Source organism: Homo sapiens, chromosome 15 (assembly GCF_000001405.40).
Source record: "Homo sapiens chromosome 15, GRCh38.p14 Primary Assembly".
NCBI classification, from domain to species: Eukaryota; Metazoa; Chordata; class Mammalia; order Primates; family Hominidae; genus Homo; species Homo sapiens.
In genome coordinates, this window is record NC_000015.10 from 99,311,308 (window position 1) to 99,325,862 (window position 14,555).

The 14,555-nt window shown below is 34.8% G+C and overlaps 1 protein-coding gene across 25 annotated transcripts in view; it reads left to right on the plus strand.

The window, feature by feature from the left end:
- The window catches only part of LRRC28 (leucine rich repeat containing 28), a 139,249-nt gene that overhangs the window by 59,827 nt on the left and 64,867 nt on the right, over window positions 1-14,555 (plus strand). For 2 of the 25 annotated variants that reach the window (NM_001321676.2, XM_047432146.1), the window contains exon 6: window positions 6,157-6,239. The exons of 22 other annotated variants lie outside the window; for them this stretch is intronic. In NM_001321676.2, the coding sequence (NP_001308605.1) occupies window positions 6,157-6,239 (83 nt within the window). Of the gene's footprint in view, window positions 1-6,156; window positions 6,240-14,555 lie in introns of those variants that run through there. One more of the 25 variants, XM_047432149.1, reaches the window with a different exon arrangement.

The following is a 14,555-nucleotide window of genomic DNA, read 5'->3' on the forward strand; positions in this document are numbered from 1 at the left end:
AGGTTAAGTACTTCTTTCGTTGCTTTACGTGAATTGTGATATGTTGTGTGTTCGTTCTCATTCATTTCAAATATATTTTCTAATTTTCTTCACAATTTCTTCTTTACCCATGAGTTGTTTACAAGTGTATTGTTCAATTTCCAAGTGTTTGCACATTTCTCAAATTTCTTCCTGTTGTTGATTTTCAATTTAATTCTGTTGTGGTCAGGCTATATTCTTGTATGTTTTCAGTTTTAAAAAGGAAATGTATGAAGACTTGTTTTATATCTTAACATGGGTTGGCAAACTATGACACACAGACCCAATCTGGTCATTGGTCTTTTTGTGGTTGTTTGTAATTGCCTGCAAGTTCAGAATGATTTAAAAATTTTAAAGAGTACTCTAAAAAGCCAAGAATATGCAACAGAATCTGTACATGGCTTGCAAAGCCTAAGGTATTTACCATCTGGCCCTTTACTGAAAAAATGTGCCACCCCTGCTCTAGAATATGATCTATCGGATATGGTAAATGTATGTGAAATATAAAGGGCTGAATATGTATATTTCTTAATTTCTTTTAAAAAACCCTAAAGATTATTTAAAGCCATAGTCGTAACAGTGAGGAAAGTGGAAACAGAGCTATACTGGAGCAAAGTTACTGTGTTTTACCAGAATTAAGCCAATATTGACCTGAAATATATTGTGATTAATGATGTGTATTGTGATTCCTAGAATACTCACTAAAAAAACCCTCAAGAATTATAGCTAAAAAATTAATAAAGGAAGTTAAAACAATACACAAATATTTCTACAGTCACGCACTGCTTAATGGGAATACATTCTAAGAAATGTGTTGTTAGGTGATTTTGTTGTTGTGTGAACATCATAGAGTACACTTACATAAACCTAGATATTATAGCTTGCTACACACTAAGCCATATTGTATAACTTATTGCTCCTAGGCTACAAACCTGTGCAGCATGGTACTATACTGAATACTATAGGCAATTATAACACAATGTGACTTTATTGTTAAAAACTGAGACACTAACACACATATTAGTCTAGGCCTACACAGGGTCAAGATAATCAATATCACTGTCTTCCACCTCTAATCTTTTCCCACCAGAAGGTCTTCAGGGACAACAGCATGTATGGAGCTGTCATCGCCTATGATAACAATGCTTTTTCCTGCACTATCTCCTGAAAGACCTGCCTAAGGCTCTTTTACAATTAATTTTTTTTATAAGTAGACGGAGTACACTCTAAAATAAAAAGTATAGTCTAATTAATAAACCAGTAACAGAGTTGTTTATTATCAGTTATTATGTACAGTATTTGTATGTGCTGTCCTTCATACAACTGGCAGCATAGTAGGTTTGTGTTTATACCAGCATCATCACAAACACGTGAGTAATGAGTTGTGCTACAATGTTACAATGGCTACAACTCTCAGTAGGTGATAGGAATTTTTTAGCTACATTATAATTGTATGGGACCACTGTCTTCTCTGCGGTCTATTGTTGACCAAAACGTAGTTATGTGGTTCATGACTGTATGAGATAAAAAATAGAATGGAAAAACAGAGACACAAAAAGACATGAGGCGTAATTTTAAAAATAGCTGAATCACAATTGTAAATATAACAACATCAGTAATTACATTAAATGTGAATGGTCTAAACACTACAATCAAAAGGAAGAGATTTTCCAACTTAGTCATAAAGCAAGACCCAAACTATATTTTGTCAGAAGAGGTACAATTTAGGATCAAAGACACAAATAGGGCCAAAAGAAAAAGAAGGAAAAAGATATACCTTGCAAACAGGAAATAATAGCTGTAGTAGCTATTTTAATAACAGACACAATACACTTTAAGACAAGAAATATTGGAACTAAACAAGGACAATTTATAATGATAAAAGGATCAGTATATTGGGAAGATATAAGAATTATAAATGTAGATGCACTTACCAAAAGAGGCCCAGAATACATGAAGCAGAAAATGACATCTGGCTCACACCTGGAATTGAAAGGGGAAATAAACAACGCAATTATGTTGAAGATTTTAATAGTCCTCTCTTGGCATCTGAGAACAAGTAAAGATATAGAAAACTTGAACAATTTTGTTGACCAACTTGAACTAAGGTAACTCTCCACTCAACACAAGCAGAAGGCATTATTCTTTTGCAGCACACATAGAATATTCTTCTGCAGCACACATAGAACATTCTTCAGGATAGATCATATATGCTAGGCCATAAAGCAATTCAAAAGAACTTGATTCCTTCCTGTTATTTTGAATTACCATCTGATAATCATTTTCTTTCAGCCCTTTTAATATTTCTTATAGGGCAGGTTTGCTAGCAACTAATTTTCTCATTTCTTATTTATCTAAGAATGCCTTTATTTTGAATTCATGGCTGAAGGATAGTTTTCCTGTATGTAGAATTCTTGGTTGACATTTTTTTTCTTTTCCTTATGGATTTTGCCAGTTTTAGGGGACAAAGCTGTGGGATTTTGTCCCCTGCCCCAAATTGAGGGTGCTCTCTCTGGTAGCCAAGCTTTTGGTTTCCTTAGCCCTGTTTTGATAAACTGCTATTCTTGTAGACTGGGCTGGGGGTAGGATGTGACAGGAGCCATCCCAACCAAGAAAAGGCTGCAGACTTCCACTGTTCTTGAATGAACAAACACTACTGAATTTATTTTCTGCCTTTGGTTGATTTCTAGAGTTATGAATAGTTGTTTTTCAGAGTTTTGTCCAGTGTTAAGCTTGTTTTTGGTGGAGAAACTTCGCTGAGTTTGTCACATGCCTTAGGCTGCTATTCTTCCAAAATATTCTCAAGCCATTTATTTAATTAGCTATTTAAAAATATTGGCCAGGTGTCGTGGCTCATCCCTGTAATCCTAGCACTCTGAGAGGCTGAGGCAGGTGGATCACTTGAATCTAGGAGTTTGAGATCAGCCTGGGGAACATGATGAAACCCTGTCTCCATAAAAGATTAGCAAGGAAATGGTGACACATGCCTGTAGTCTCAGCTGTTTGGGAGGCTGAGGTGGGAGGATCACTTAAGCTTGGGAGGTTAAGGCTGCAGTGAGCTGTGATCACACAACTGCACTCCAGCCTGGGTGACAGAGTGAGACCTTGTCTCTAAATAAATAAATAAATAAATAAATAAATAAATAATTTTGTAAAGATGTAAGGAGCTCACAGAGCTGCGGAATCCATATTTTGTCATGAATTTGTAACAATATTTTATCATCTCTGATTCTCTGGCACTTCTATTCTAAAGTTACTGGGTAAGTTCCTGTGTTCACAGTTACTGACAAAAACATTGGGAATATGTTTTTATGTTCTTTCATTTACTGAGATGGTATTTGTTTGGGTACGTAAACTGCTTTAAAGTGTATGAAAGCCTTCTTACCCCCTTCACCTAACCTGGGTTTTAAGTTCCTCTATAAGATGTTTGAACATCAATCTCTAGTGGAGAAAGTAGCCTTTAACTTGTCATTTTAGCGAATTATTCTTAGTGCAAGCATACATACAGAAATCTTTCTGGTATTAGCATTTTTTTGAAGTGTGGCTCATGCAGGACAATGGAATTTACTTCATTCTTGCAGATTCATATAGCTAAAGACAAATGTAAATCTTTGGTTGTAGCTTTCTCTGAAAGCAATAAGATGTATATACAACTTTAAATCTTGGATTTTATTTACATAGGGTGTTATTTGACATCAATTTTTATTCTCTTTACTCCAAAGGAATAAAATAGTAAAAGCTAGAAAATGTTTTTCATAGATTTTCAGCTCTTCAGAGGATGAAAAAAAATTTTTACCATTAAACAAGGAATCATGCAGTTCTTATAAAAATTACCAGAGGACACAGTATAATTTCAGTGTTGATTATTTATTTAAAATATTATACATAATTTAGTTTTTGAGGACAGCAGCGATCAACAGACAGTAATATCTAGGTAACAGGAAAGTAAATTCATTTTATTGTTTTAGGTGCTGTTTAGATAGTGTCATTGTTTAGGTTCTGTTTCTGTATTGTTTCTGTGATAGAAAGTTTCTTGGTGTTTTGAATCATTAACCAAATGAACTTTCTTATTCTCTTATTATAGGCTTAAAATGAACTTCCAGTGGAAAGTCACTACTACTATCCTAAAATTTTTATGGTGGGAAACAGAATTCTAGGATCTCATGCCAGTAGTGCTATTGACAGTCCATATGCTTGTTTGTTGATTAAACTCAATTTTGAAACAATTAGAGACTCATATGCTGTCCATATATTTTGAACCAATCATTTTTTTCTTTTTAATTTTTTCCAGCTATTACCTGGTTTTGTACAAATTAGCTAATGCTATTTTATGGGTAATGAAGGAGGCCATATAGAAAGGTTTGAAGTTGACTGCTACTCTGTGGCCCCAATTTTGTTAAGCACCAACTATGATAATAGTCATGATTAAGGTAAGGTATCAGAAATACCATCTTCAGGCCAGACATCTGGCTCACACCTGGAGGCTGAGGTAGGAAGATAGTTTGAGGCCAGGAATTCCAGGATATAGTGAGTCGTACATTCCAGCTAGGGCAGCAGAGCAAGAACCTGTCTCCAAAAAAAGAAAAAGAAACATTATCTTCACCTACTAGAAGCCTGTTTCCCACTCATGAAATTCTTATTTTAAATTATGAATTCGTAACAAAAAGCATCATACATTTTAAAAAGTTGAGTAAAGCATCAAATTAACAACTTTTGTGTGCTATTAATGGAATCTGCTCATGTTTTCTAGAAATTTTAACTTAAATAAAACATTTAGATATTAATGCTATATTGGCTCAACCAGTAAGCCTTTTATAAAGTTTGTTGTATCTATGTTGACAATATTTCTGAATGTAAGGTTATATAAAAATCATTTCATCCATACTTTTGGTTACTCATAAAATATAATTTGTTATATATACTACTTATATCTCTTAATGAAAGTGAATACAAAGGAAATAATTATTTGAACAGTAGTTGTATCCATGTTTTTGTAGACTCATTTCAAAACAGAGTGCTCTTTTTTTCCTTTTAATTTTATTTACTCTAGCATTCTATCTGGCCCTTTTCTTGTGAAGAATTTGTGTGGTAGAAACCACTTGCCTCTAATAAGGAACTAGAGAAATGGGAATTAGGGAATAAGGAAATAGGGAATTAGGGAATAAGGAAAGTCATTTTTTTGGTGGAAAGATTTGAAGGAAATTATGGATACAGTTCATTCCATATTTTATGAGGAACTTTTAAATTCTATTACTGTATTGGGAACATGTGCCATAGGGGGCTGAAGGCCTGTTTTTGCTTATAGGGAAGAAAGTAGAGAATTAATGGATGATAGGAGAGAATTATTGTGCAAAGAGAGATTTGAGGTAGGATTTAAATAGAAAACTCTTAAAAAAAAAAAAAAAAAACTCTTTGAACATCCTTCAGGAGAACTACAAGAATAAAACAGTATCTGTAAAGTATTGAAAGGACCCTGGCGGATACAAGCTTGGACACCAGGGAAGGTTTTTTGTTTGTTAGTTTTTTAAAGATGAAGTCTTGCTCTGTTGCCCAGGCTGGAGGAGTACAGTGGCATGATCATAGCTCACTGCAGCCTCAAAATCTTGGGCTCCAGCAATCCTTCTCCTTGGCCTCCAAAAGTGCTGGGATAACAGGTGTGAGCCACCTACTGGGCCTTTTTTTTTTTTTTGGAGAGGTGGGGAAGGTTTTTTTTAAAGCACAGCCTAAAGTGATAATAGTCAGAGCCTCATAAATGTTGCGTGTACGCAAGTATGCCAGTGACCATGAGTATTAGACTAGGATTTAGCATCCCATTTTCATTTCGTTTCCCTTGAGCAGGGTCCAAAATAATTCCTTTTTATTTTTCCTGTATAAAAGGAAAAAATATTAGAGCTACTATTAAAAATGTCTATGCCTTTCTGATGGAATACCTAGGGAAAATGTTCCTTAAAATGTTGATAACCAACCTTTTCCAAACTTTCTTTACATGTTCTATGAAAAAGTGTGCGGTGGCCAAATGTATGGGAACCTGCTGGTGAATCACAATTAAGTGGGTTTCCTGACTTGATAATGCTCTGTGATATGCTAATGTGTATTACAGTAAACTGTATAATGTATTGTTTTTCCTAAACTTAATAGACCATGAGAACATTGCTCTGAACTGGTGTTCCTGTGAACACAGTTGGACTAACCGCTACTTGAGATGTGTGTTGTTCCATAAGGTCAGTAGTAAAAATTATTACAGACATTTGGTTTTACTTAAAGTTAATTTAAAAATTAGATGTCAGCTTTCTTTTGTTTTTTTTAAGTTGCTTTTTGGGGTGTTGTTTTGAAATAATTCCTATATTTTGCTAATCTGCCAGTTCAAATATTATAGGAGAGTAGAACATAAACTTAATTTGGAAAATGTTAATATTCTTGGAAATTTTATTTGCAACTAAAGCATTTCTGAAAAAAATATGACTTATAAAACACATGTCATCTCTGCAGCGTTGAACTGTTTGCTATTCTCCATAAACATACAAGTTTTATTGTTCTTTTCCACTGTTTTGTTACTTCCTTCCTATTATTGAGGAGCATTTAAAAGCTTTGTTGATGCAGTGCACAACAAAAGATTGGTAGAACACAATAAAAGATTTTGAATTCTGGTATGTATTGACTGCCTTGCAGCAAAGCAGTAGTCCTCTTTGTAGTATTTTTGCAAAGATTGGGAATAAACAGAAATCTGAAGAAATACGTTTTTATGTGTTCTCATTAGAAGCATCATACAATTTTCTATAGTACTTGTAATTGACAGAAACTGTATGAAATTTGAGATTTAAAAAAATTTTATAATGACAGAACTTGTGAGACCCTCAGCAATATAGATTTGCATAAAAGCATTATATATACACGTTTATTAAATTTTTGTTTTCTGTTGCAGTGAACCAGAATATCATTAGGAAACTCAAATTTTTAGAATTTTAATCACAGATTTCAGTGTGATAATTCTTAGCTAAAGTAAATACAACTAATAAATAAAAATATAACAGGTGCTTACAATTGTTGTGTTTCTTGTTCTGAGGAATCCCAATGTGTGTGAGGAGGCACCATTAAATAATTAATTTTTATTATAGAAGTAGTTCATAGCAATAGAAATAAAAGTTTAAACAGCATAGGAAATTTTGAAATGAAAAGATAACATCTTTCTGTGCCACATTTCATTTCTACCCTTGATATTAATCATTTTTGAGTCTTTTTTTTCACTCTGTAGGTGGTTATCTGAGAACTCTAAACAAGAGCAGGCAGTAAATTTAGAGACTTTGCTTTTGTATTAAGATTAATAACCAATATATGCCTATTCAGAAATCTCTAATGCAATGTTTTTCATGTAAATTGTGATGTGAGTTTCTTATTGTTTCTTACAAAGGCTATATATTAATATTTAGAAATCAAAATTATATATTGTATTTAGTATGGAAGTATTTTAATTGAGAGATTTTTTTTAAACTAGATAATTTTTGTGTTGTGCATGTGTTTTTCCAGTGGTTTCCAAATGTTCTATCAGTGGAGGTCATCAACCGCTTTCTATTTTTCATGGTAATTTTTTATGGGAATTTCAAAGAAAGAAACTGGAGTGAATCAGTTTGGTAATCTGAAATGTATATGCACTAAAATGTTTTCCTTTAAAATTTCTTCCTGTTTTGAATTTGGAAAGTGAGATGAAAGCAGTCATCATTATTATATCATTCTTTCCAGCAAGTAAAATAGAGATTACTTTTACTTATTCTGTGCAAAGTAGTAAAGTTAAAAAATAAATTTTTATTCTGGACTATGATGCTGTGATATTTCTTAAGGCAATGATTATAATAGTTTTATACCAACAATAGACACCTAGTGGCCTCATTCAGGTCAAAGCTTAAAAACTCCATTGTGCTAACTCAGTAAAGAGAAAAAAGCCTCCCTAGAAGAAGTCTATAAAATTGACCATCGCTAAAATAAAACATAAAATGAAAATCTGGGTATGTGGTCTCCATGAATCTTGAAGAATGAGGAAGATAAAGGATTTTTCCAAATAGAAATCCATGTACAGACACAAAGCGATAACAAAGATGCTAACTTTTAGAATAAATGCTTTTAAAAATCAAAGACAATATATCTGAAAAAGATAAATGCCATTTCTCTCTAGCAGTTAGTTATATTATAATTGTCACTTAGCAAGAATACTTTATTGACTAGTTGGTTAGATACCAGCGAACACCTGGGAAATAACTTATTTGGAAGAATACTGAATGAAATTCTAGTGCATAATCTAGTCACACACAAAGCACGAGGTAAAATGTCAAAACAGTGTGGTTTTTTTTTTTAAATTACTGTCTTTAACATTTAAAAATTTCTACTGGGAATTAATTGGCAAGCTTGGCACCTAGACATAAATATTTAAATCAAATTCATTTTTCTTACGTTTCTCAGATGTCATATGTTTGGGAACATTTTATTTTATTTTATTTTATTTATTTTTTATTTTATTTGAGACAGAACCAGGCTGGAGTGCAGTGGTGCAATCTCAGCTCACTGCAACCTCTGCCTCCTGGGTTCAAGCTATTCTCTGCCTCAGCCTCCCAAGTAGCTGGGACTACAGGTGGCCGCCACCACGCCCAGCTAATTTTTTTTGTACTTTTTAGTAGAGATGGGGTTTCACCATGTTGGCCAGGCTGGTCTCCAATTCCTGACCTCAGGTGATCCGCCCTTCTCAGCTTCCTGAAGTGCTGGGATTACAGGCGTGAGCCACCGTGCCCAGCCGGGAGCATTTTATTTTAAAGCTCCCAAATAATATTTAATTATCTTTTATAAATATAGTATTCTGTTAAGAGGTCTTGTTAATTGCTAATATAATTTTTTTAAGTTCTTCTTGTATATTGCTTATATTAGACAAATGCATAATTAATAGATTTTCTCCGTGTGCTTCCTGGTATTGTTCCTAACTTTAAGTTATGGTCATTTGTTACTAAATATAACCTGCCACACATTCAAAAGTTATGAATATATAGCAAGCCTCTTATAATATGGACAGTTGTGTCCTATACTGGCAGACCCTAAGTAGTGTATTACTAAGGGTTATAAAAAAATAAACATGAGTTCATGTTTAAATTTGTAGACCATTACTCTTTAGAGCCAAAATAATTGCTGGATAGGTTCCAAAGCAAGTTTCCCAACACCTGGTTAACTCCTGGTGCCTTTGAAACATGTTATGCACTTGGAATTATAGGAGGGAACACATGCTAGTAAGCATGCAGCTATAATGGAGTGTAATAAGAGCATGGAGAAATATGCTGGTGCTGTTTGAGCCCTACAAGCAGTCACCCCTTCAGACTTACTGGATCATGATGTGAACCAAAATCAAACTATTTCTGGCCCATCAAATAGACCAGGTAAGGCATAGATTTGGTTTTGCCAAACTGGGTGGATCTGGTTGTACCTTCTCAAATGTGAAAATGATGTAATAGTTAAACAAATACACCCAGATTCCAAATTTATAAAGTCAGATCATTGTTAATTCCTTCAGATTAGTTAATCTTGAAAATACACTTATTCCAAAAAGACTCCATGGTTTTTAAGTTCAAATAAGATCTAATCGAGTTTCTAAATAATTCCAAAAACAAAAGAACATCATTCTTACAAGAATGCCTCTGAGCTGTCATTGAGTATGTTACTCAGAGGATGCCAATCTTGTTTAAACATGAAAAAAATGTTTTCCTTTAGACTTGCCTTCAGAGTTTGAGGCATGTTCTTCTCAATATAATTGATGGTATCATATCCTTATCATTTTGGGGGTAGATTTGATCCCTAGAATCCATGAAAAAATTCTATATCAAGATCTTAAGGGAATTTCAAAACAAATTTCAAAAATATGAATGAACACATATCATTGGATTGGTTTTGCTGGTTTATGATCTTGAAGGGCAATATTTATTTGCTTACGTGACTTCTGACATGCCTGCTGAAAATTTAGTTATGTTATTGTATAGTCTAAGTTATGCATGTTACATTTATTTCTGTAAAACTGTGTCAGCTATATAGCAGATCACACACACAAATTTGAAAATGCGTAAGAGACTGGGGCTATTTAGCTTGTGGGCAGCTGGCGTTCGGTCAGTAATGTCTTATAGAATACTCCCATCACTTGCATTCACAGAGATAATTATAAGACATTAAGGAAAACTTAAATTATGTTAAATGTGCAACAAACCTCTAGCAGTCTTGGATTTCACTTTTTTTTCCTCCAAGGATTTGTGAGTTTCCTCAAAAGTCCACAACTGTTGTAATTTTGCTAAGCAACAAATCTGAATCATAAGTGTGAGGTTTGTGTGCAGCTGCAAGTCTGGTCTGCGGCCACTGAACAAGTGAGGTAGTTTAAGGAATACATTAAGTCAAAAAATATTTACTGTGCACCTACCATGTGCTAGACTCTGCTAGGTGCTAGGAATATGGGGAATATAGCAGCAAATAAAATCAAAGCCCCTGTTCTTATGAAATTTATTTTCTAGTGGGAGGTACACACTGTGGTTTGACATGTAAATAAATGAATAAGTAATTAAATAAGTAAATGCAGGGAGGGAATAAATAGGATGCTACAATTGAGAAATAGGGAATCTGCTTGAAGTCAGGGAAGGCCTTTGTGAAAATGTGATGGTAACATTCTGAAACACAAGAAAGAGTCTACGGTTGGGAGGGTTGGGAAGGAGCATTCCTGACCGAGGAATAGCAGATTCAAAGCCTCCAAGGGAAGAAATAACTTGACACTTCATTGGGCCAGACAGAAGGAAGGACAAGGTAATTAGATTGTAGCGAGGTGGGGAAGAGAGGTGGGCCAGGGCTGATCTGGAGACCATGTTGCTAGTAAGATGGTGTTAGAGATTTTATTGAAGTGCAGCAGAAAGCCAGGGCAGAGTCTGGGGGCAGGAAAGGACCATGATCTGATGTATATTTTAATATCACTGGCTTCTGTGACATTGGAGGGGGTGAGAATAGAAGCAAGAAGACCAATGGGGAGGCTTGTTGGTTGGGTTCAGGCAAGAGATGGTAATAGGGTGAGCTTGGTGTCAACAGTAGAGGTCTCGGAGAGGCTAACAGATTCAGTATGGATTTTGGAATGTGGACTCTTATGGGGCCCTCACCTACCTTTGTTCTGTATTTCTCTCTATTCTATAGAGGGTGTAAGTTACAGTGGTGTTCCCAGATTTGGTCATTACCCAGTTCATAAAATATCAATAAAATAAGGGTATGTTCTTTGCTTTTTAAAAAATAAAATAAGTGATTAAAAGATTTTAAAAGGTATACTTTCTTACCTGGAAAATTATCTTCAGACCCCCATTAGGGTCCAGATACCATTTTACAGCATATTAATCACATTCTAGTTTATTCTTTCAGCAAGGAGATAATGGTGCCTCCTGTGTTCCAGGCACAGAGCTAAGGCATGTTGTTGCAAAGGTGGGCAAGACAATCCCTGCCCTTTAAAAGGTCATGTCCTGGGGCAAAGCAAGCAAGAGCCAAATAAACAGCTAAGTTACTATTCAACTTTGTGGAAAGAACCAGGCTACTGAGTTAGCTTGGGTAGATGGTGGCTAGCAGAGGCTTTGACCACTTTGTTGATGCTGCTGATTTTTCTGTGGTATTTCTGTATTTAATTTCTGTTCTTTTCTATCATCCAGTAATTTCTCACAATTTCTGGTCCATGATGCCTGCCAGTATCTTTTTTTACTGCTTTTGTAGATTCTCTTTCCCACCTTTTAAAATAATGTACACTCAGAAACATCTCAGAACAGAAGCATCAAAGTTTATTTGTATTATTAAGCATAATTTACCACAGTTTGATTTTGGCTCCCTGGTCTGTGAGCATGATTCACCCCACGTGTAGAGACCAGGTCCTTTCTAGCTAGGCTGCTTATTTGCAGTGACCAGTCTGGGTTTAAAAATATAAGTACAATAATTTGGTGTTAAAGGATTTTAATCCTCATATCAGAGAGTCAGGTTAAACTCCTTCTTAGGAAGATATGAATTCTGCTTTTTAAAAAATGATTTTAGACTATATCTAGGATTCGATCCCAATTGTTACAAGGAATGTCTAAGAGGTTGCGTTGTTTGATAATTGCAGTTAACTTAAGTGTGTGGGACATCCTGAATGCTGTTCTTAGCCTTAAAAATGGACTAATATTTCAAGTGAATCTGAATTGCTTTTAATTTTTTTAATTGTCCAAGGAAGATAGTGCTTCACAGTTTCTGAAAGTCATCTATCTCCCAATAAAGAGCCCTTTTCTCTGTGTTAGAGTTAACAAACATGTTTGTGTTTGCAGTTATTTTGATAATAAAAAACTTCATCAATTACAGAAGTATTTATATTGAGTTTACATTTGGAATATTTTGTAGTATGAACTGAAAAATTAGAAGTAAATACTAACTTTTCTGTTATTGTTATTGAATTATATGGGATATTTTAATCACTATTAATCTCCTGAGTTAGGTGTTACTCTTTTTTCTTTAACAGCAATTCGATGATCTAAATAGTTGAGTAAATAACCCAAAGTTGCATGGCCAATAAGTAACAGGATTATGGTTTGAACCTATTTGTACGTACCAGAGTATGTGTATTCCACAGCTCAAGAGAAAGAAAATGGATATAAAAAGGAAGACTTACTGTACACCAAATGGAATTTGGCATTGAAATGTTGTCTTTTATTTATTTGTACAGTAGTCCCCTATTATCTGTGGGAGTATGTTCCAAGACCCCCCGTGGGTGCCTAAAACCTCAAATAGCACTCAACCTTATATCCACTACGTTTTCTGGAGCTAATACCCTAAATGACTAAGTGACTAATGGGCGAGGAGGGTAGACAGGGCGGGTACACTGGACTAAGGGCTGATTCATACAATGAGGTTTCATCATGCTGCTCAAAATGGCATGAAATTTAAAACTTACGGACGGTTAATTTTTGGAATTTTCCATTTAATATTTTCAGACTGCAGTTGACTGTGGGTAACTGAAACCTCAGAAAGCTAAACCGCGGATAAAGGGGGATTTCTGTATGTTCTCAACCCAGTGTGCTCTGGAGCTCAACTTAGAGCTATTTTTAGTGGTACCGGAAAAAGCAAGTGCTTAAAAATATCAAGTCTGTCATTGACTCTCTGTGGTCACTAGCTTGGTGTGGAGTGGGTGGCTTCCTTCCCATTCCCATTTAAATTTTAGGTTAGGTCATTGTGCATCAGCACAGAACTATGATTTAAAGGGGACTTACTGTGTTTTTCTTTTGAAATTGACACCATAATGTTATTTTTGTGCCTAATCTAAGTAATTACTATGTGGCAATAATAAAATCATTTTCAGAATACTCTATAAGTAGCTGAAAAGTTTCAAGGTATTGTGTATTTAGCACAAAAGTAAACAATGCAAACAACTGTAAAGTTAGAGACACTAAGGAAATAAGGTGTACAGACTTATGTTTGCTCCCAGGGAAGGGGTAGAAAGGATTGGGAGTGGTGTGAAAAGAGTAGGATTCTACCAGGATTCCAAAAAGAATGCATTGTAACTCTGTGTCAGGAATACAACATTAATTTCAGCATGACACAGCAATAAATATTTAAAATCAGTCTGTCAATTTCTACCAAAAAAAGCCTCCTGGGATTTTGATAGGGATTGTGTTGAATCTGCAGATCAGTTTGGGGAGTGTGCCATCTCACCAGTGTTGTCTTCAAATCTATAAACATGAAATATCGTTCTGTTTATTTAGATCTTCTTTAATTTCTCTCAACGGTATTTTGCAGTTTGTAGCATATAAGTTTTGTACTACTTTTGTTCAGTTTATTACCAAGTATATAATTTTTTTTGGTGCTGTTGTGAATGGAATTATTTTCTTAATTTAATTTTGGAATTGTTTTTTCCTGATGTATAGAAATGCAATTGATTTTCTAATATTGATCTTGTATCTAGCAACCCTTTAAAACTTGTTTATTAGTTCTAAGAGTTTTTGTGGATCCCTTAATTAGTATTTTCTACTAAGGATCATTTTATCTGTAAATAAAGTTTTACTTCTTCTCTTCCATTCTTGATGCTTTTTGTTTGTTCAGTTTTTGCCTTCCGGCCTTTGCTAGAATCTCCAGTATATTGTTGGGTACCAATGGAAACACTCAGCCTCCTTGCCTTGTAGGCACAAGGGGGATTTAAGGGGAAAGCACTCAGCCTGTCACCATTAACGTAGTGTTCCATACGTTCTCAGCTAGAGGTGTTTTGTAGATGCCCCTTATTGGTTGAAGGAGTTGCCTTTTGTTCCTAGTTTGTTGAGAGTAGTTATCATGAGTGGATTTTAGATTTTGTGAAATGCTTTATTCTTATTCCATGAACATGTGTATTACATTGATTTTTCAGCTGTTGAACCAACCTTACATTTCTAGCATCAGACCCACTTGTGGGGAAGAGAGGTGGGCCAGGGCTGATCTGGAGACCATGTTGCTAGTAAGACGGTGTTAGAGATTTTATTGATGTGCAGCAGAAAGCCAGGGCAGAG